Source organism: Homo sapiens, chromosome 18 (genome assembly GCF_000001405.40).
Source record: "Homo sapiens chromosome 18, GRCh38.p14 Primary Assembly".
Classification (NCBI taxonomy): Eukaryota; Metazoa; Chordata; class Mammalia; order Primates; family Hominidae; genus Homo; species Homo sapiens.
Genome location: NC_000018.10, coordinates 62,370,737 through 62,392,351, shown reverse-complemented (window position 1 = coordinate 62,392,351; position 21,615 = coordinate 62,370,737). Strand labels below are relative to the sequence as shown.

The following is a 21,615-nucleotide window of genomic DNA, read 5'->3' as shown; positions in this document are numbered from 1 at the left end:
GACAGAGCAAGACTCTGTCTCAAAAAAAAAAAAAAAAAAAAAGAAAGACATTTCACAGTTCCCCGACCAATAAAACACATTTATATCAGCATGTGTGTTACAAAACTCAGTTTCCACGGGAGAATGGGCCCCTAGGAGGGTGACTGCTGCATTCCATAAGGATATAGGACAATTCTAGGACATGGCAGCTCAGAACTGGGCCCTGACATTGGGAGTCCCACTGTGTAAATGTGGAAAAATGTACTCTGAATAAACACTACTGGTGTACATCTCCTGAAACATAATTTTTTAAAAAATGAAAAATTATGTCTTCATTTTTTTCTAATCATAACAGATACTTACAGAAATGCTCTAAAAACTTTAAACATGCTTATTCCACTTTCCAGAATATATAAAGAACTTTCAAAACTCAATAAGAAAACAATTAAAAACAAACAATCCCAGCTCTTTGGAGGCCAGAGTGGGAGGATTGCTTGAGGTCAGGAATTTGAAACCAGCCTGGATGACATAGCAAGACCCTCTCACTACAGAAAAATTAAAAAGTTAGCTGGGCACGGTAGCACATATCTAGGCCCAGCTATCCAGGAGTCTGAGGTAGGAGGATCATTTGAGCCTGGGAAATCGAGGCTTCAGTGAGCTGTGATCACACCATTGCACTCCAGCCTCGGTGACAGAGCAAGACCCTATCTCACAAAAAGAAAGAAAAAAAATGAGCAAAAGATTTGAACATACTTCATCAAATAAGAGACAAAGATAGCCAAATAAGCACACGAGAAGGTATTCAGTCACAGACTGAAAAGAAAGCCACAGTGAGATACTATACACCTATAAGAATGGCAAGCATTAAAGCAAACCAGCAAATAACTGATGATACCAAATGCTGGTGAGGATGTGGAGCAACTAGAACTCTCATGCATTGCTGATGGGAATGCAAAATGGTACAGACACTTTAGAAAACAGTTTTGCAGTTTCTTATAAAGTTAAACTGATATTTACCATACGATCCCGTAATCCCACTCCTGGATATTTACTCAAGATAAGTGAAAGCACACATCCACACGAGTTTTTATAGTAGCTTTATTTGTAATCTCCCCAAACAGGAAAGAACCCATATGTTGGTGAATAAACCGCAGTACATCCATACAATGGACTACTACTCAGAAAAAAAATGGAACTACTGGTGTACCCACCGATGGATCTCAAGGACATTATGTGGAAAGAAGCCAGACTCAAATGGCTATGAGCTGTGTAACTCTACACGACAAATTGGAAAAGGTGAAACTATGGGAAGAGAGAACAGATAATGGTTGCCAGGGGCTAGGGGTAGTGGGGAAGGGATTGACTGAAAAGGGAAATGGGAACTTTGGGATGTTGAAATATTCTATATCTTGATTGTGATGGTGGTGGTTACACAACTATGTATTTTTGTTAAAACTCATAAAACTATATATCTAAAAAGGGTGAATTTTACTGTATATAACAAACTCAATAGACCCGATGTAAAAAATGTTTATTTTTCCACTGACAGAGTAAATATTTAGAGAAAGCTCTTCTAAGAACTTTAAACATTCATTTTAATGGTTTCTTTGTCATTGAAAGAGAGAGGCTATAAAAGCCAATAAAAATGGATTTGCTTCTTCATTTTAGGGTAAGATGTTTTACTGCTGCTGCTTAAATGGAGACAGTCTCTAAGAGCCTCACCATAAGAATGTCGTTTTTCTCACGACTTAAAGTCTATACAGCCTTTGTTTCCTGGGCTACCCCTGCCCGTGAGAAACCAAGAGCCTGGGTGAGAGCAAAAGCTTTCATTGACTCCAGTGCCCTCCTGAAGGGGCCTGGACCTATAATGCCACCTCCTCTGAGCCGGTGGTCAATGTGTTATTCTTCCCAAACGGGGAGAGGCACCAGGAATACCATGACAAACTAGCCCACATAGCCTTTCAACCTTCACATCTGGCTATTCTTTGCGCCCTACATGTTGCCTACACTGATGCCCATTTTAATCATAGTCTTTTAAGACAGTATAATGTGAAGTTATATTGGGTAAGTCTACTTCCCTCAGTGTGTCATGTCAGAAGATGACAACTTTTGGGTCAACCATAACAGTCCTGTCAACTGTGGAGAAGGTGCGTCCCTCCGACCTAGTTGCAAAGAGTGGGAAGGTGTCCCAGGTGGGCAGCAGAGCTTGGTTATAGTTACGTGGTCCGACATGATGACTGAGATGGCTCCTGAGCCCAGGAATGAACAAGTGTCAGAGACAGGGAGGGAAAGTAGTGTAGGACAGTCAGATCTCTACTACTGGAATCTTCTAGGAACTGCCAGTGAGTGCTTGGTTGTCTCTCATCTCACGTCATCCTCAAACCAGCCCTAAAGACTAATATTAGTACCTTCTGCTTACGCATGTTGAAAACAAGGCTAAGAAGTGATGTAGCTGCACAAGATAAGTCCACAAGTCACAGCGCTGAGTCATGAACCAGGTCTGCCTGCAAAACGTCTGCATTTTCTATCACACAGGGAAGAGGGTAGTGTCACCAGCTCCTTGGTTAGTACGAAGATCTGGTAACAGGCCTGTAATTTTGTCATTTTAACTTTTATACTCCTGGTAATCTTAAAGATTTTTTTAAAACATTCCTGTATGCCAGTTTTATGAATGGGATGAAGGAAAGAGATGTTAGCCTAGCATGAGTTTCAACCTCACCCTGGGGTCAGGATAACTGGGTAAGAGGGAGGTAGGAAGAGAGAAAACTGGACTCACAGCTGTGCAGAGCCATGCGGGTGGGTCAGGAGGAGCAGCAAGTCTTGTGGGTGTGCCTGCCCACTGGGACATTTATTCGGTCCTCCTCTTTGTTGAAACCTTGGGGGACATAGGATTGTTTTGCCGCAGTAGGCAGTTCCGCAGTGGGGCAGCCATGGGGGTGTTGGTCCAGGGCGGCTCCCCCTGCACCACTTGGCTTGGCTTCAGTGATCCCACCTAGACCCCGCCTGTGCTCACTGCTGGCACCGCCACTGCCCAGTGTCAGGTCCCTCCTCTTCTCTGGCAAAGCTTTAGTGGTTGCAAGACTTCACCAGCAGGGCTCTGGGGGTCAGAAATTCCACAGACAGCCCCTTCCCAGAAGCCTCCTCTGGCGCTTGGAGCAGAGCATTGTCTCGTCTTCTCTGCTCCGAACCCTCCAGCGCTCCTCATCTCCTTTCCCAGGTGCTCAGGGCCCTGCCACTAAAAGCACACTCAATAAACATGATGATTCACCAACAGAGTGTTTAGGGCTTTGAATGCTTTGTCTCCTCTTCCAAAAGCGGGTTATGCAACTTGTGCCCAGCGCAGCCCACAGCAATGCACCAGACTCACATGCCATCAGAGACTGTCAAAGAGCAAACAACTCAAAACTACGTTTCTTCCACCAAAGACAGCACCTTTGCTCAAGCTCACCCTTGTATAATCGTAACAAGAGTTTGTTTGTTGAGCTGAGGTGAAGGGTGAACACTCGATCTTTTATCTGTTTATATGCAGGTTTCTCTACCCCAAGGTATCTCACCAGTTTTCTTGATTTTAGAAGTTGTGACTTTTCAGTTTTCTGTGCCAAAGGAATGTGGAAGCAGTACAGTAGGCTCAATTCCCAAATCACCTATATTTGGCTCTGGAAAGAATTTTGACACAGCACTTAAATATGAACGTGGGTGTCCCTTTCATTGTGGGAATCTATAGTGCTGTGCATTAAGGGAATTCAATCACCAGAGAAGGAGCTACTCACTGGTTAGGGGCTGGGATATGTTCCTCTTTTTTTCCCAGAATGCACTCTTCTCTGCAGCATTTTACTCCACGCAGTGCCCTGTGGTGGACAGATGGCAAGGGGGCCATCTTCCCCTCTGTGTGTCCACCCCCTACCCTCTCATTCCGCAACTCTTCCCATGGGGGGATATGCTGCTCCCCCATCCCTTGGATCTGGGCTGCCTTTGTGACCTGCTTTGGCCCACAGAATGTGGCAGAAGTGACAGCATGCCAGTTAGAGCCTAGGCCTCAAGAAGCCTGGCAGGTTTCTGCTTGTTCTCAGGCTCGACACCACCATGAGAGCATGCCCAGCTAGGTGGCTGGAAGGATGGGAGACAGGTGGAGAGCACACAGCCTGGCCCGGCCAACTAGCCGGGTCATTGTAAATGGGTAAGCAAACCAGGCCAGGAGGGACCAGGCCTGAAGAACCACCCAAGCTGATCCAACCCATAGAATTGGGAGCTAAATAAGTGGTGGTTTTTATTTTTGTTTTTTTACACTGGAGTGCACTGACCCAATCAAAGCTCACAGTAACCTTGAACTCCTGGACTCAAGCATCCTCCTGCCTCAGCCTCCTGAGTAGCCAGGACTGCAGGTGCACACCACCGTGCCCAGATAAGTTTTGTATTTTTTGTAGAGACGAGGTCTCACTCCATTGCCCAGTTTGATCTCTAACTACTGTCCTCAAGTGATCCTCCTGCCTTGGCCTCCCAAAGCACTGGGAGGCATGAACCGCTGTGCCTGGCCAATGGTGACTATTTTAAGCCACTAAGTCTTTGGGTGGTTTGTTACACTGAAATAATCCCATTTTCCCCACCACATGAAGGTTCTGATCTAACACATTCAAACTGCTCTTGAGAAATTCATTCTTCCTTCCGACAGCTGAGTAAAATGTGAGTAGGAAACATGATACTCCATTTCCATTTCAGCTCTTTCACTGGGTACCCAGGCTGTATTTTAATAAATTTTTGTGAAATCAACAGCATATATATTATTAAAGCAAGTATTTTCTGTCCCTAGTCTGTGGTCCAGGGAATGAGCAATAAGATACAAATGAACGGTTGACACCATACCATAAAGATTAGGAATAAGCATATCATAAAGATTAGCAATAAGTTGGATCATGATTTTACAGTGAGCTCGGTTTTAGTAAGCCATAAAAAGGATTTTATGGTGAAACATAAGCTTAATATAATCTCTTTATCATGTTCCCCCTAATAACTGTTCATTACTGCTTCAGTTCATTTTGTTTACACTTGTCACATACATCTCTACAGTACACAGACACAGACTTATATTTTCTATACATTTTTTAGCATTGAGTTGCCTTTGGATCAATATAGAATTAGTAGGGATCAGTGCAGGAAATAATATTACCTTTTTCTGAAAGTAGAGTCTTACTTATGTATATAGCACCTTTGATTTAAGGATCTCAAGGTACTTTAACATTCACTGTAGCATACTTCTAATATCTCTGGGTAGGGAAACTATTATAAATTATCATTATTGCCTTTTTATAGAAGGAAAAAATAAAAGCAAAGAAAAGCGAAGTGCTCAGTGAGATGACAGTCACAGCAGAAACTCGGGTTTTCAGCTCAGCATTCTACTTTGTGAACTGTAACTCTGTAATATATTCCATATCAAAAGGTATAATGGTTTCCTCCATTTGTATAACATCTCTCTGTGGATGATGTTAAATAAAAGGGCAGGAATGACGGTAAATTCCCACCAACGGATCCTCCTGGCTGTGCAGTTATTTCCTGCAGTTCTTTATGTTGGCTAAGGAGTCCCATAAATTACAGAACTGTCCTGTGCTTCTCCACTGAAAATCCTAATCGACCGCTACCACCCCAGCATTTCCAGCAGGAGGGAAAAACCAGTGATCCACAGTCATGCTCTTCAGCTGGGCATTTGTGGCCAGTAAAGTCTGGGCAGTGACTACTATTAGTGCTTTCTTTTATAACCTCCCAGATGTGCAAAATTAATTTTAACTTGCTTGTGTATTTTTGCTTTTCCCCAGTATTTGCGGGGAACCAGTGCTCACTGGGTAACAAAAGATAAAACCACCCAGGGGATTTCCTTCCACCTGGAGCGTCCTCTAGGCTTCTCACAAGCGGGATGATGCCAAGAGAAAGGCACCTTTAGGATAATAAGTTTTCTTAAATTCACAACATGCAGATTTGGCTTTACATTTAAATGCATTGGAAAATGGAATGTTTTCCACTTCTACAAGGCTAACCCACAGATGCACGATTATTTACGAATAAAAGAGGATCTATTCACGCTATTCTTATCTAGACAAAAAAAATGCAAATTAAAATTTCAACTTTATTCTTCCTTGAACTTCCCGGGCCCTTTCTTTCCAGGAGCCCCATGTCCTGTTCATTTTCTCCATCTTTTCCAGAGAGACCTCTAGAATAAGAAGAATGCCAAGCTGCAGCAACTTGGAGTTTTAGAAATTTGCTTACCAAGTACCTGAGTGCCTCTGCCAGCATGGATAAATTAACCACCTAGCGGGTAAGGTCACATACTGAGCTTAGTTCTGCTTAAGGAACGACACAAACTTAAAAAGATTCAGGAGAAATAAATCGGGTTTCCTTTTTTCTTTCTTTTAGAAAAATGAGAATATAGAACATTTTTCAGAATATGAAAGTCCCACCACATGTTCCTAGCAACTTAGCAACTATCTCCAGGCCTCACATGTTTAGCCCTTTCCCAAAAGTGTTTACAATGAACACACACTGGGAAAGCCATCTCTAAAACACTGTGAGCAGGGGCACAAAAGAAAATACGTAAAGCAGGCCAGCGTGGGGGCTCACGCCTGTAATCCCAGTACTTTGGGAGGCCGAGGCTGGAGGACTGCTTTAGCTGGGGAGTTTGAGACCAGGCTGGGTAACATGGTGGGACCGTGTCTCTGGGGGGGGAGTCGGGGGGAGGAAGCTGGGCGTGGCCTGCAGCTGTGATCCCAGCTACTCCGAAGGTTGAGGTGGGAGGATCACTTGGATTGCTTGAGCCCAGGAGTTAGAGGCTGCACCGGGCTATAATCGCACCACTGCACTCTAGCCTGGGCCAGAGCCAGGTTGCCAAAAAAAGAAAAAAAAAAGGAAAAGAGAAAAGAAAGAGACCCTCACCTTTAGGAGAATTTTTGAGAAAACCTTTACATTAAAAAAGAGGGAGGAAAGATATCAAGAAAAGTTATGAAAAGGAATACAAATATGGGGGGAAAACAGACCCCCCCCCCCACAGAACAGGATAGTCATAAAAATAGCTGTCATAGTGCCACAAATTACTGCTGCGAGTTTGAGGAGTGGCAGGGGAGACATCTGCCCCAGTGCGGCGGGCTGCTGAGCATCCGTGGGCATGGGGACAGTCCTCATCAATTCACTTCCTGAAAAGCCCATTTCCTGGAAGGCAAAGTGGGCAGAGAATGCCGGGTGGTCTTCCTCGACTGTACCGATCGATCCCTGGGTGGCCGGGGCTGGGGCAGAGGCTGCGGTGCTGCCCTCGCGAGCCCTGGCTCCGAGCTTCGGGCTCCCAGCCATGGGGGGCGCTCAAGCCTTGGCCCCGCCTTGCTCCTGCACCGGCCTCGAGGCCTTCTCCGGCTCCCGCAGCCCCTCGGGGCCGCCGCACGGGTCCGGGAAGCGCGGGCCGTTCCCCGCGAAGGAGTCTCGGCGCGCCAGGGTCTCCTCCTGCACCGGGCGGCCCATGGGCTCCGCAGCCGCCGCCGCGCCCTCCTGCGAGGTCTGGCTGACGTAGACCACGATGATGTCGCCCTTGAAGTTCATCACCTGCCCGCTGGAGATGAACGTGGAGTTACTGTTTCCAGTCACATTTCCTGCGGGGAGAGGAAGGGAGAACACGGGGAGGGTGAGTCAGCGCCCGGAGGCAGGGTCTGCCGAGAGGAAGGTTCCGGGGAGTGGAGGGCGGCTCCCCGGATTCCCACAGCCCGGGGCCACAGGGAACCACACTGTAACCCTCCAGGCCCACTGAGGCGGAGGAAGGCGGGGCAGAGAAAAGAGGAATGGAAGAGAAAAAAGACAAAAGAAGTAAAGAGAAGAGGCGGGGAGAGGAAGAGAGGAGGAAAAGGAGTGGAGGAGGGAGGGGGGAAGGGGGAGGAGAGGGCTAGGAAGAGGAGGAGGAGAGGAAAGAAAGGGTGGAGGAAGAGGAAGGAGAGAGGAACAAGAAGGGGGGAGGAGGAGGGGAGGAAGAGGAGGAGGAGAGGAGGAGGGGAGGTAAAGGAGGGGAAGAGGAGGAGGAGGAGAGGAGGAACAGGAAAGGAGGAGGGGAGGAAAAGGAGGAGGAGAGGAAGAGGAGGAGGAGGAGAGGAGGAACAGAAAAGGAGGGGAGAGGAAGAGATGAGAAACGAGCAAGCCTAGGGGCAGACTCATGCTTTACCATTTGCTTGTGAGGTGGGACTCTGGGATACTGGCAAGAGAGCACACCAAGATTACAGAATCACAGACAAGATTCAGATGTTACAAAAGAGAGAGAGAGTGTATGTGTATTTGTGTGTGTGTGTGTGTGTGTGTGTGTGTGTGTTCAACACAGAACAAGCACAGCTAAGGAAGGAGACCTCAGTCTGCTCTCCTCTCTGGACTCACATCTGAGGCCCCATCACCGTGGGTGCCTTGGTTCCTCATGGTCCCTAACAACTCAGCCCTGGAGGATCATGGGGCCACGTGGGCTCAGCTTTCAGTAGAGATTAATCCACTTCCTTAACATTAAAATTACTCCCGGAAACAAAACAGATTCACAAAACTAAAATAGAAAAAAAAAGTCCTATAAATCACTTTTCCCTTCTGAACTCTGAAGGGTGTTTTGTCCCTAAGGGGTTCTAGCATCATTGCTTTGTGGGTGACTAGATGTGGCCAGTCTTTCAGCAACGGGCCTTTTGAAAAACAAACAAAGTCCAACAAATGTTAGGCAACCTGCTAGCTCTTACGATTCTTCCATTTTAAAGACAGAAATTTCCTAGACTTTGGTCTAGGAAAGTGCCACAAACCAAGCAGATCTAGAAACACCCCAACACTCAGCATCACAAACAGAATCCTTCCATTTGATCAGGGGCCAGGAATGTCAAAATGGCTCCTCACGATTCACCCCTTTTTCTTCTCCATTGTGACTCAGCTTAGTAATAATTCATACAAATAAAATGAAGTTTTTGTTACCACTCCACACGAGATTTTCCTCGAATTTGGAAGGCATGTTTTGGATGGCCTGACTAAAATACCGATACGCATGTAGGAAATTCCTTTGAGGAGCCTTCCCCTGACCCACTGGGTAACCTCTAGAGAAGCCAAGACCAAAACACAAGGAAAAGCCCATGAAGACACAAGGATTTCAAGTATGAGCAACAAATCCAAAGTCCTGGAAGGAGGTCTGTGCCTCATGCTGTTTCTCCCATGGGCAGTTGTGTGGGATGTCCTTCAAGATGGGCAGTGGCAGGACTTGTCTAAGAACCCCCAATTAGCATGAGGGAGGCCCGTTGGCATTCCTGTTTACCACCTACCCAGCACCTTCTCCACCCCCTCTCCACACATTGCCAGGCATGCAGCGTACTCCAGTGAGGGTCTGCTCACCACTGTATCTACGCCCTTCTGCTCCCACCACTTACCAAGTTACTTCTCAAGTCTGTTGTCACCAGATAAACTCATCAGGAAATTTAATTACATATTAGGTAAAGCAGTGAAATATTAGTGAGAAAAAATGGGAAATGTTTCTATGAAAACTAAAGTGAATGCTTTGCAAGGACCCAAATAAAAGTTAACAAACAAACAAACAAACAAACATACAAACAAAATGAAACAATCACCACAAACTGTTCAACTGGTGTGGTGGTGTAGGCAAGGAAACTAAGAAAAAAGAAAGAAAAAGGAAGGACTTCTGGTTTCAAAATGGCGGCACAGAAGCAAGCTGGTTCCACTCCCCCCGCAGAAAACCAAAACAAAACACACAGCACCGACATTATCACTCAAAATATTCTAGAACACAAATATGACAATGAGACAGTTCCCAGGGCCACAGAGAAGTGAGAAAGGAAGAAAAAGAATAGGAAAAGGAAATAATAAAACTCCAGAAGGATTTTGCTCTCAAATATCTGTAATTTCTCATTTCACATTGAAGAAATCGAAACTGGAAATTAAGGTGGTGTGGTTAATGTAAAAAGGGCTCAGGAGGCCGGGCGCGGTGGCTCACGCCTGTAATCCCAGCACTTTGGGAGGCCGAGGCGAGTAGATCACCTGGGGTCAGGAGTTCAAGACCAGCCTGGCCAATATGGCGAAACCCCGTTTCTACTAAAAATACAAAAAGTAGCTCAGCATAGTGGTGGGCACCTGCAATCCCAGCTACTTAGGAGGCTGAGGTAGGAGAAGTGCTTGAACCCAGGAGGCGGAGGTTGCAGTGAGTCAAGATCGCGCCACTGCACCCAGCCTGGGTGGAGTGCAAGACTCTCTCAAAAAAAAAAAAAAAAAAAAAAAAAGGACTCAGGAAACTATAATCAGCCAGTACATACAGACTTATACTATAAAATAATCAGTGTGTCAACTATAAGGTATATGTTTTAAGTAAAAAAATATTTAAGAGATGAACTTGTAAGATGACATTTTTAAGTAACTCAGCAACTGCTGACCAGGGGCTGATAAAAAGGCTTCTACCGTAGCAGCAACAGAAGTAGGCGTAGCAACACAGTTAAGTCCTCCTAGAGAAATCACTACTTGGTTAATAGAAAAAGTCAAAGTGAAAACTAAAAAGTACATGGAATGGGACATTCAATTTTTTAAAAAAAGCACATACAATGAAAATTCTATTCTGATTAAAAACATACCATGTTTATTTAATAAAATAAGCAATTTAAAGTTGCTTAGTCGTATGATTATTCTTGACCTAGTTCCTCTAGTTTTAATATACACCATGACACAAACAGATAAGTCTATGAAGAGAATAAAGAAGAGATGAGATTAAATGCAAAACCATCCATCATGAGGTGTTCTCACTACGACATCATCGCCTGCTGGTTCTGTTGCTCTTCAGTATCACGTAAAACTGCACAGAGGATATCTCCAGCCACTGTATGATGGATTTATGGTTTTGAATTCGTTCTCATCTCTTCTTTATCCTCCTCACTGATTTATCTGCTTATGTCATGGTATATATTATTTCTCTGCCATTTTAAATTTTATTTTTCAACAGATCATCATGAATCCATTGTTGTTTACTTCTTTCTTGTGAGAACCTCTGATGAGTCTGAATCCAGGTAAAACCTATGGTTTGTGTAAAGTCTTTCATCTTGAGAATTTCATTCCATGCCATTGCTCCATGGCAAACAGTATCTTTGATACTGATAACCTAAATATTCTATAGGACCTATATTCATTTTTGTTTTCTTTTTTCAGATGGACCTCAAACCCTTTTGCCTAAGTAGAATATCTAAACATTTCAGAATCCTTTGTTTCATGGACTGAACCAAGAATATTATTGTTGGGGAACTAAGCGCGGTGGCTGACACCTGTAATCCTGGCATTTTGGGAGGCCGAAGTGGGTGAATGCTTAAGCCCAGGAGTTGGAGACCAGCCTGGGCAACATGGTGAAACCCTGCCTCTATGAAAAATACAAAAAAGTTAGTTGGGTGTGGTGGCACACGCTTGTAGTCACAGCTACTTGGGAGGCTGAGGTGGGAGGATCACCTGAGCCCAGAGATGCTGAGGCTCCAGTGATCTGTGATCATGCCACTGCACTCCAGCCTGGGTGACAGAGTGACCCCCATCTCAAAAAAAAAAAAAAAGAATATTATTTTTGGAAGGCCGTGAGGCTTGTGGAAGGGCAAAAACTAGGCCTTTAAATTCCTGACCATTGGCTGGGCGCAGTGGCTCACGCCTGTAATCCCAGTACTTTGGGAGGCCGAGGCGGGTGGATCACGAGGTCAGGAGATCGAGACCATCCTGGTTAACACGGTGAAACCTGGTCTCTACTAAAAATAAAAAAAATTAGCTGGGTGTGGTGGCAGGCGCCTGTAGTCCCAGCTACTCGGGAGGCTGAGGCAGGAGAATGGCGTGAACCCAGGAGGCGGAGCTTGCAGTGAGCCGAGATCATGCCACTGCACTCCAGCCTGGGCGACAGAGTGAGACTCTCTCAAAAAAAAAAAAAAAAAAAAATTCCTGACCGTTAAGATGTAAAGGACAGTTACCTAGAAAGATTTAGGAGATTCTAAAACAAGTTTATTCTTCAAGTGTTTCTTTAACAAACCTAAAATTAATGACAAAAACAACCATTGGTCAAGTCTATCCATGCATGGTGACTCTTGTGAGATATAGTAAACTGATAGAGACTAAACCTTTTTTAAAAAAGTTATACTGATGTGCCAATCACACAATACGTGGCAATTCTTAAGTGGCAGCAGAGTGGTCGCCATGGGCCTGTGCAGCCGCACAAGGTCTTATGCTCTGAAGAGCTCCACGCTGGGTTAAATGCTTTGCTGTCATCATGAAATTCTTATTAATTTTTGCAAAAGGGGAAAATTTTTCATTTTCCACTGGGCTATGTCAGTTATGTCACCAGTCCTGAAGGCGCGGGCAACTCTTAGGAGCATTACTCTGGGAACTTTCCCCACTGAGGCTCTAATCTAGCACTACCGTTTTCGGAAGTGACATCTTATAAGTTGGACATTTTTCAATATTACAGAAGTGTTTGCTAATCAGATTTTCTCTACTAAATATTCAGTAAAACTGAGTTGTAGAAGCTCTCCACTTATGCTTCTAAAATACTGATCCTGTGATATGTTTCCCTCATGTTCAAGCCACCCACCCCTTGCTGCAAAACACCAACTTTCTGATGGAAAACGGGCCTGTCCTTTGCGAATGGGTCTACTGATTGTACCAATTGTATCTTGAATGCTTTACCTACAATTTCTAGTTTTGGGTTCTTTAACGTGGAAAGAGAACCAAAAGTCACTTGCCAAAAAGCAGTCTAAGTGCAGGAGCCTTCTAGAGTTTTCTTCCTTCCACCTTTCACGGTTGTGTCATTCACCTCAACTTCAATACCAAAAAGGTTTTAGCAATTCATTCCCCGAATCATCCCAAAGTATTCAGTAGTTTTCATAGAAATAATCATGATTATCAAACTCATTTTTTCTTGCCAGTTAACGTAATAGTTAATGTTTTGAATGACAAGATCAGCTCACACTCACAGAACTGGGAGCACCCATGGACTTTAGAAAACATGGCCATTCAGCAGGTGGCAGCAGAAGGGTCTGGGTATTCCAGAGTGACCCAAGAGTTGTGAATAATCAGTGTGCTATGGGCTTCAGTCAGCTTCCTGGGCGGGTGTGGGTTAATCTGTGGGTTGAGTGGAGATAGATTGAGTACCTACTACAATAATAACAGTAACAGAAGCAACACTCTCCATACAGAATTGACTAAGCCCTCTCTCCAGGCCAGGTTGGCTGCATCACAAACACCAGCTTGCAGGTGCTCTGCACGTGAGCACGCCAGGTTTCTGTGATTGGTTTTTTTCCCCTTTACCGACTGACACTGTTCAAGGATGAAAACTGCCAAACAGCCTTCTTTTTCCATGGCACGTCATAATCCAGATTCACCGGAAAGCAATCTAATGACATCAATGTCATTGTGGTGTTTCAGTCTCTGAAGAGCAGAGGTGAATAAGTGGTAGCTAGAGGGATGGAGGCATTAATGGCTGCCTGAATTCAGGAGGGGCAGAAATGTGGGGCAGAGAATAGGAGTCTAGAAGCTCTTGGGTCTTGTCCTGAGACTTGGCTCTCACTAGTGGTGAGAATTTGGAACAAACCACCTAACTCTCCCAATCTGTATCAAGCTGTGCTGGCCTGGCAGTGTGCAACTGCGTAGAGCAAGCAAATATTAATAATACACATTTGTTAAATAAATGAACAAATGAGCACATGAATATTCAGCAGGATAGCATAAGGGTCAAACAAGATGATAGATTTGAAAATGCTAGGGAAATAGCAAAGAGTCAGTCACAGGTGCAATGGTGGCATTCCTCCTCCCAGAAAGTAATATCCGTGCTCACGGAACTCCCAAGGACACAGAGATTCATGAAATACACTGAAGAGTAGTATTATCTTTCCATCCCTGTCTTGTTAGAGGATCTCAATGCGTCTTAAAGACTGAAAGGGCACTTTCTCTGGAAATCTAACCAACTTCTGTTTGCTCTGCCGAAGTCCTCAATCATATGATTGTCTTCGGTTACAACACTCATCTATATAATTCTACATTAAACCCCACAGTCTCATTTCTCATCACGCAAGTCTGCTGTGAGTTGAATGTAGCATGAGAGTAGATCAAGGCTTAGAATTAGTTGGTAATATCCTTATCTAATAGATACCTCAGTCCTGAACTGTCCTTGCTAAAAGTAAGAATTCCTTAACATTTGCTTTCTGTATTGCAGAACAGATTAGTTGTTCACATCAGAGAGCTCACATCTGATCTGCGATGGTGACATCAATAGGTCACCATGTTGGCAGCTGTATAATCAGGTGGGTGCTGTGGGTCTCCTTTTCAACATGGTTCTCATGGTTTCTGCAGTTGATACGTATCCCAGGAGGGTAACTCTTCCCACTGAATGCCTAGAAACTCAACGGGGACCTCTGCAGTTAGCAGGGACCTCTCCCTTGCTGGTGGCTAGTAAGGGAGTATGAAAAGGGGAGGGATGGTTCAGATGAGGCTTACCCAAGATGGCCTAAAAAGATCCGAGGCTTAAGAGAATGAAGAAACAAGCCGCAGACTGGAAGAAAATATCTGCAAAAGCCACATCTGACAAAGGACTATTTCCCAAAATAAACAAGGAACTCTTAAAACTCAACAATAAGAAAACAAATAACCCGATTAAAAAATGGACCCAAGGCCTTAACAGACACCTCACCAAAGATATCCAGATGGCAAACAGGCATATGAAAAGATGCTCCACATCATATGTCATTAGGGAAGTGAGAATTTATGCAACAGTGAGACACCACTACACACCTATTAGAATGGCTCAGATCCAGAACACTGACAACACCAAATGCTGGCGAGCATGGGGGTGGGTGGCAGGAACTCTTATTCTTGGCTAGTGGGAATGCAAAAGGGTACAGCTGCTTTGGAAGACAGTTTGATGACTTCTTACAAAACTGAACATACAGTTATCATATGATCCAGCAATCATACTCTTTGGTATTTACCCAAAGAAGTTGAAAACTTATGTCCACACAAAAATCTGCACACAGATGTTTACAGCAGCTGTAGTCATAATTGCCAAAACTTGGAAGCAGCCAAGAGTCCTTCAGTAAATGAAGGGATAAACAAATCCCCCATGTCCTCCACACAATGGAATATTATTTAGTGTTAAAAAGAAAAGAGCTGGCCAGGCACGGTGGCTCACGCCTATAATCCCAGCACTTTGGGAGGCCGAGGCGGGCGACTCTCAAGGTCAGGAGATGGAGACCATCTTGGCTAACACAGTGAAACCCCGTCTCTACTAAAAAAATACAAAAAATTTGCTGGGCATGGTGGCAGGCGCCTGTAGTCCCAGCTACTCGGGAGGCTGAGGCAGGAGAATGGCATGAACCCGGAGGCGGGGCCTGCAGTGAGCCAAGATCACGCCACTGCACTCCAGCCTGGGTGACAGAATGAGACTCCGTCTGAAAAAATAAAAAAAGAAAAGAGCTATCAAGCCATGAAAAGACATGGAGGAAACTTAGATTCATAATGCTAAGTAAACAAAGCCAATCTGAAAAGGCTATAGAATGTATGATTCCAACTCTATGGCATTCTGGACCAGGAAAAACTATGGAGACAGTAGAAAGATCAGTAGTTGCCAGAAGTTCAGAGAGAGGAAGGGGTGAGTAGAGCACAGAGGATTTGTAGGGCAGTGAAACTACCCTGTAGGAGACTATCATGGTGGATGCATGCCAGGATACATTGGTCCAAACCCATAGAACGTACAACACAAAGAGTGGACCCCAATGTGTCAATATGCGCTCGTCAAGTGCAGCAAATGTACCACTCTAGTGGGGGAGGCTGTGCATGTGTGGGGGGCAGGAGGTATATAGGAAATCTCTGTACCTGCCCCTCAATTTTCCTATGAAGCTAAAACTGCTCTAAAAAATAGTCTACATTAAAAACATGAAGACCAGAGGTTTTTTATAGGCATTGTTAGTCCATTAAGCCAAACCAGGCCTTGTCCCTCCCCTCTTGCCTCCTCTCCTCGGGATCCCTTTCTGACAGTGTTCCCCTTCGAGGCTGCCTCTGACCTTTATTTGACATTTATTTTGCTTGCCAAAAAAAAAAAAAAAAAAGATAAAGTTTGAAGCATGTGGAAGAAAAGGCTCTCCCCACAAGAGAAAGTGATAGTGAAAATAGTAACATCCCAAGACAACTGGCAGAAGAGAGGGGTCTCACCATAACCAGGGGACCATCACGCACTGTGCATCCTACTGTCCCTCCTGTGGAACCCTCTGGGCCAGGCCAGGCCTGGCTACTGCCTCTCCCTCAGCCAGAGTAGCCAATGATGCCAGGACTGTGCTTGTCCCTATTCTGTGACACACTGAGGATTCTCCAAGACACAGTAAATAAATGAAATCAGCATCACTTGCACTGACTTAAGAGGAGACAGTGCGGTGGTTTAAGGTTGCACTGCAGCCCTGACCTTCTGGGCTCAGGTGATCATCCCACCTCAGCCTCCCGAGTGGCTGGGACTACAGGTACATGCTACCACATCTGGCTAATTTTTTTTAAATTTTTGTAGAGAAGAGGTCTATGTTGCCCAGGCTGGTCCTGAACTCCTGGGTTCAAGAGATCCTCCCACCTTGGCTTCCCAAAGTGCTGGGGTTACAGGTGGGAGCCACTGTGCCCTGGCCTGCAATCAGATACTTGAACCATGGCTTTGTCGCTTACTAGCTGTATGATCCTGGGCGAGGAACTTGTCCCATAGAATTTCTGTGAGGAATAAGAAGATAATACACACAAAACACTCAGCACCCAGTGACTAACGTCTATAATATCACTGACAAAACTGTAACCTTCAGGCTATCGAACCAATCTTACAGGTCCCTGAACACAATATGACTGATGAAATTTGAAGGCTACCCAAAAGTATGATTTGAAAGCCAGAATGACATGGGGATTTTTATTAAATATGGGAATTTGGAAGTGTTTCCAACAGTTAAGATGGATTAGTTGGCAGGGTGCAGAGGGTCACACCTGTAATCCCAGACAGTGCAGTGGGTTAGGGTACAAGCTTCATAATCAGACATTTGTTTTTGTTTCTTTGAGAAAGGGTCTTGCTTAATCGCTCAGGCTGGAGTGCAGTGGCGTGAACACAGCTCACTGCAGTCCTGACCTCCTGGGCTTGGCTGTCCTCCCACCTCAGCCTCCTGAGTGGCTGGGACTATACACCTTGGGAGGCCTAGGTGTGTGGATCCGTTTGAGCTCAGGAGTTCGAGACTAGCCTGGGCAGCATGACGAAACTCAGTCTCTAAAAAAAAAAAAACACACACACAAAAATTAGCAGGGTGTGGTGGTACAGGCCTGTTGTCCCAGCTACTCGGGAGGCTGAGATGGGAGGATGGATTGAGCCTGGGGGACGGAGGCTGCAATGAGCCAAGATCGTGCCACTGCTCTCCAGCCTGGGTAATAGAGCCAAACCCTGTCTCAAAAAAAACTTAAAAAAAAAGAATGGATTAGTTGACTTAACATTAATATTTAATGTGACTTAACCAGAAAAATGTTCAGGTAACTTGAGAGTGTTAAAAATAGCAAGTAAGTCAACAGAAACAATGAATCAGTGATGTTTCCCATCATAATCAGAATGATGCTTCTACTTTGTCCATGCTTGACATAGCAGGCTCCGTGGAATCTGCATTTCTCAGGCAGAAAGAACAAACTTAGTTCTAAGAACACAATCCCTGACAGAATTTACATTTTTAAGCAAGACAATGCATACCTTTCTTCTCAAAAGCTTATTATGTTGTTTAAAATGCCTAACACATGAATATTAAATCACAAGAACTATGCCAAATAATACCACCAAATTGTAATGTAGATTTTCTTCCAAGGAAGAGAACTAAAAATATACACAAATACACTCAAACTACCCAGGCTACATTGGGTTCTTTTGGAATTTTTTAAAAAACTTATTTTATATTTAACCCATATGCTTCTCATGTGATTTTCCTTTTTATGGAAATGTAAGTTCTGTTTCAGGCATTTAGAAGAAACTGGGTATGTGATGGTAAGGGAAGGGAAACAGTATTTAATAGTTCCATTCTGAATCATGCTTGAAAATTACTTAGAAAGTCTTACAGACCAAAGCCTTCCAAAATGAGCCCTATCAGTGCAGAAAGAAGGGAGACAGGACGAAATGAAGCAGAGTACACACAGTGACCACATTTTTTGTATATTTTGAAATAGTGCATTGATGTTTTACAGCAATGAAAGCTGAATATTATCACCAGATAACCAAATTATGAAATATCTATATTAACTTCAAGATTCAGGGCCAATGAACCAGTATCTGCCCTTACGAGATTTAGCTGAAAGTGAAATGCAAGGTGGTGAACGGCATTCTAACAAGAGTGTGAAGAAAGAGATAGAAGGCTGTCCGCTGCTGGAGGGGAAGAAAGGAGGGGAGGTAAGTTTGGATAGGAAAATCTTCTGTACTCTCAGAATGGAAATGGATGATCAACAACAGTCATTTCAAGAGAGAGTGGGACCAGGGACGGAGACTGAGGACAGAGGAGGATGAGGGGTCAGGCAGGTCTTCACTGTCCCGTGTTCCTGGCTCCCAGGTGATGGCCTTGGAGAGTCTATAATGCTAGGATGAACCAGCTCACCTGTGCTCTGTCACTTCTGCCTCCTCTGCCCAGGACACTAGGTGAGCCCAGGGCAGCCAGTGCCGGCCCTTCCATCCCCCTCCTTCTCCAGCTCCCTAGAGCAGACCAAAGAACTAGGAGGCTGAGAGTGACTTGGGGGAACAAACAGGATACAGTGGTCTCATGTTCATCTATTTATTCCTGAATGGATGAATGAATGAGTGTATAAGCATCCATTCACTTAACATATTGAGATACTAGAAAGATTAGGCTATGAGAATTCCCTTTTTTCTTTTCTTTCTTTTTTTTTTTGAGACAGAGTCTTGCTCTGCCGCCCAGGCTGGAGTGCAGTGGCAAGATCTCAGATCACCTCCACCTCCCTGACTCAAGCAATTCTCCTGCCTCAGCTTCTCAAGTAGCTGGGATTCCAGGCGCATGCCACCATGCCCAGCTAATTTTTTTTATTTTTAGTAGAGATGGGGTTTCCCCATGTTGGTCAGGATGGTCTTGAACTCCTGACCTAAAGTGATCCGCCCACCTCAGCCTCCCAAAGTGCTGGGATTATAGGCGTGAGCCACTGCACCCAGCCAGGATTCCCACTAACTGGTTGTGGCTGCCTAGAGCTGGGGTGTTGATAGGGTGTGAGATTATCCAGGCTGGTGAGAAAGACCCCAAGATTCATTACAAACAACAGGCCGCAGGTCAGGGATGGGGCAGACTGTGGAAGGCCTGGATTTCTCAAATGATTGATACCTTTTCACACGGTCCACTCCCTGGCATTAATCCCTACTTGTTTTTCAGGCTTTTTCAAGGCTCTGTGGCTCAGTGGACCTTCAATAAATTGGACCTTCAATAAATTAATTGAAAAACAAATAGGTATTCTGTGTTCATCAAGAATTGTTTGCAGCCATAGAAAAAGAAGGAAATCATGTCCTCTGCAGCAACATGGATGCAGTTGGAGGCCATTATCCTATGTAAATTAGTACAGAAACAGAAAACCAAACACTGCGTGTTCTCACTTATAAGTGGAAGCTAAACACTGGGTATTCATGGACATAAAGAAGGCAACAATAGACACTGGGCACTTCTAACTAGGCAGGGGAGAGAGGGAGAGAAACAAGGATTGAAGATACTGTGCTCACTGCCTGGATGACGAGATCAGTCATACCCCAAAACTCAGCATCATACAATATACCCAGGTACAAACCTGCACATGTACCCTGAATCTAAGATAAAAGTTGAAATAATTAAAAAGCAAAATGATTTTTAAAAGATAAAAAAAAAAAAAGACCACCCCAACTTTCTCCAGCTCAGAAGTGATAGACTAACGAGTGGCTTCAGGAGCCAAAACCAAGCCACCAGCCAACAACAGACACATTAATCATAAGCAGTTATGGTTTCTTTCGCATGAAATAACTCTCTAGGGGCACAGTGAGAATGCGCCAATCTCCAGGTGAGAGGGCTTGTAACCAAGGCAACCATCACGTCATCAGGATTAGGCGTAACTTCAGACCTAAATTAAGGCATGGTTATTTAAGACATAACCAGAAGTATGCTTCCCCCTTCACTGATCTTTGCTAATCATTCTCCTTGCTTCTTAGGACTTATAACATGGCTAACATAGCCTTAACAGCACTGGGTATCATGATTTTTAAAGTTGTCTACACTTGTGGAGCTGTCTGAAAAATAATCATTCTCCTCACAAAGATGCTGGGACAGGAGATACTCTTCCCTAAAGGAAAAGTCCCCAGTCACTGTCATTTCTCCAGAACTATTTGATGTGATTGTAAGTAAAAACAAACAAAAAATCCTCTCATATAAAAATCCAAAAAACCCTTAAACAAATGTCACATCAGCACAGTCCTGAGAGCACAGGGGCTTTGAGGGGACCATGGGATAAGGCCTCTGTAGGACTGCTCACCGAAGCTCCAGCCTCTTTCACGCATTTTATAGAACGTAAATTGTGACTTTTTAAAAAACTACATGAAAAAGCAAGAATGAGAAAGTACTATTTTGACCAGAAACCATAAGGCCTGTTCATGGAGAAGTAATTGTGGAGAGAATAGCACAGCCTCCAAAATCAATCTGGCTGCTGCCTCTCCTCAGGCGAAAATTAATTTGGCCCGCTTGCTGGCGTCGACCACGGGCAGACTCTCTACGGATGTTTTGCATGGCTAAGCACCAGACGAAGACAGAAAAAGCAGTGTAAACTTTTTGCAAATTAACACCACTTAGTTGATGACACACTTTTTATTCCTTTTCTCCATCCCTAGATGGTTTAGTGCTAGAGAAATAAAAGATGATGAAAAACAGACTAGGCTACGGTTTTGACTCTTACAGGAGAGCAAAGATCGGGCTTTTTGTTTTATGGCATTAAAAGATCCATGTGTCTCTCTCTCTCTCTTTAAATCTGGCCAACACTGTTCTTCCAAGAACTGCTGCTGATTTTCACACAGAGGCAACATCATCTTCCTGGTGTCACCCACTGAAAAACCGGTCTGCCCCTGACAGTGTGGCCAGGACCTGGCTGCTGCCAGAGACAGAACGTCAGCTTTCTCGCTCCCCACAGCCCAGGGTCCTGTCTGTCTCCACAACCAAGGGGAAGACAATAAACTGAGAGAAAAGAAATAGAACAGGCCAGGTGCAGTGGCTCACGCCTGCAATCCCAGCACTTTGGGAGACTGAGGCAGGTGGATCACCTGAGGTCAGGCGTTTGAGACCAGCCTGGCCAACATGGAAAAACCCCATCTTTACTGAAAATACAAAAATTAGCATGGTGTGGTGGCATGCGCCTATAGTCCCAGCCACTCGGGAGGCTGAGGCAGGAGAACTGCTTGAACCCGAGAGGTGGAGGTTGCAATGAGCCGAGATCGCGCCACTGCACTCCAGCCTGGGCGACAGAGTGAGACTTGGTCTCAAAAAAAAAAAAGAAAAGAAAAGAAAAGAAAAGAAATAGAACAATGCAAACGAACAGCAAAGCCCAGTCATGGAGATTCCTTACAATCTTAAAAAATAAGAACAATTCTGA

The 21,615-nt window shown here is 44.6% G+C and overlaps 1 protein-coding gene across 10 annotated transcripts in view, besides 1 other annotated feature; it reads right to left on the bottom strand.

Moving 5' to 3' along the window:
* Positions 1–1,063: 1,063 nt before the first annotated feature.
* The window catches only part of TNFRSF11A (TNF receptor superfamily member 11a), a 65,979-nt gene continuing 45,427 nt past the window's right edge, over positions 1,064–21,615 (bottom strand). For all 10 annotated transcript variants that reach the window (XM_011526245.3, XM_011526244.3, NM_003839.4 and 7 more), the window contains one exon: positions 1,064–7,601. In XM_011526245.3, the coding sequence (XP_011524547.1) occupies positions 7,318–7,601 (284 nt within the window). In that variant the 3' untranslated portion in view covers positions 1,064–7,317. The remainder of the gene's footprint in view (positions 7,602–21,615) is intronic.
* Positions 17,335–17,964: an enhancer, noted in NCBI's record as "NANOG-H3K27ac hESC enhancer chr18:60041621-60042250 (GRCh37/hg19 assembly coordinates)". NCBI's record gives its function as "activates a minimal SCP1, AML or CMV promoter by ChIP-STARR-seq in naive H9 embryonic stem cells {active_cell/tissue: H9 hESC(naive)}" and the evidence as "EXISTENCE:reporter gene assay evidence [ECO:0000049][PMID:30033119]".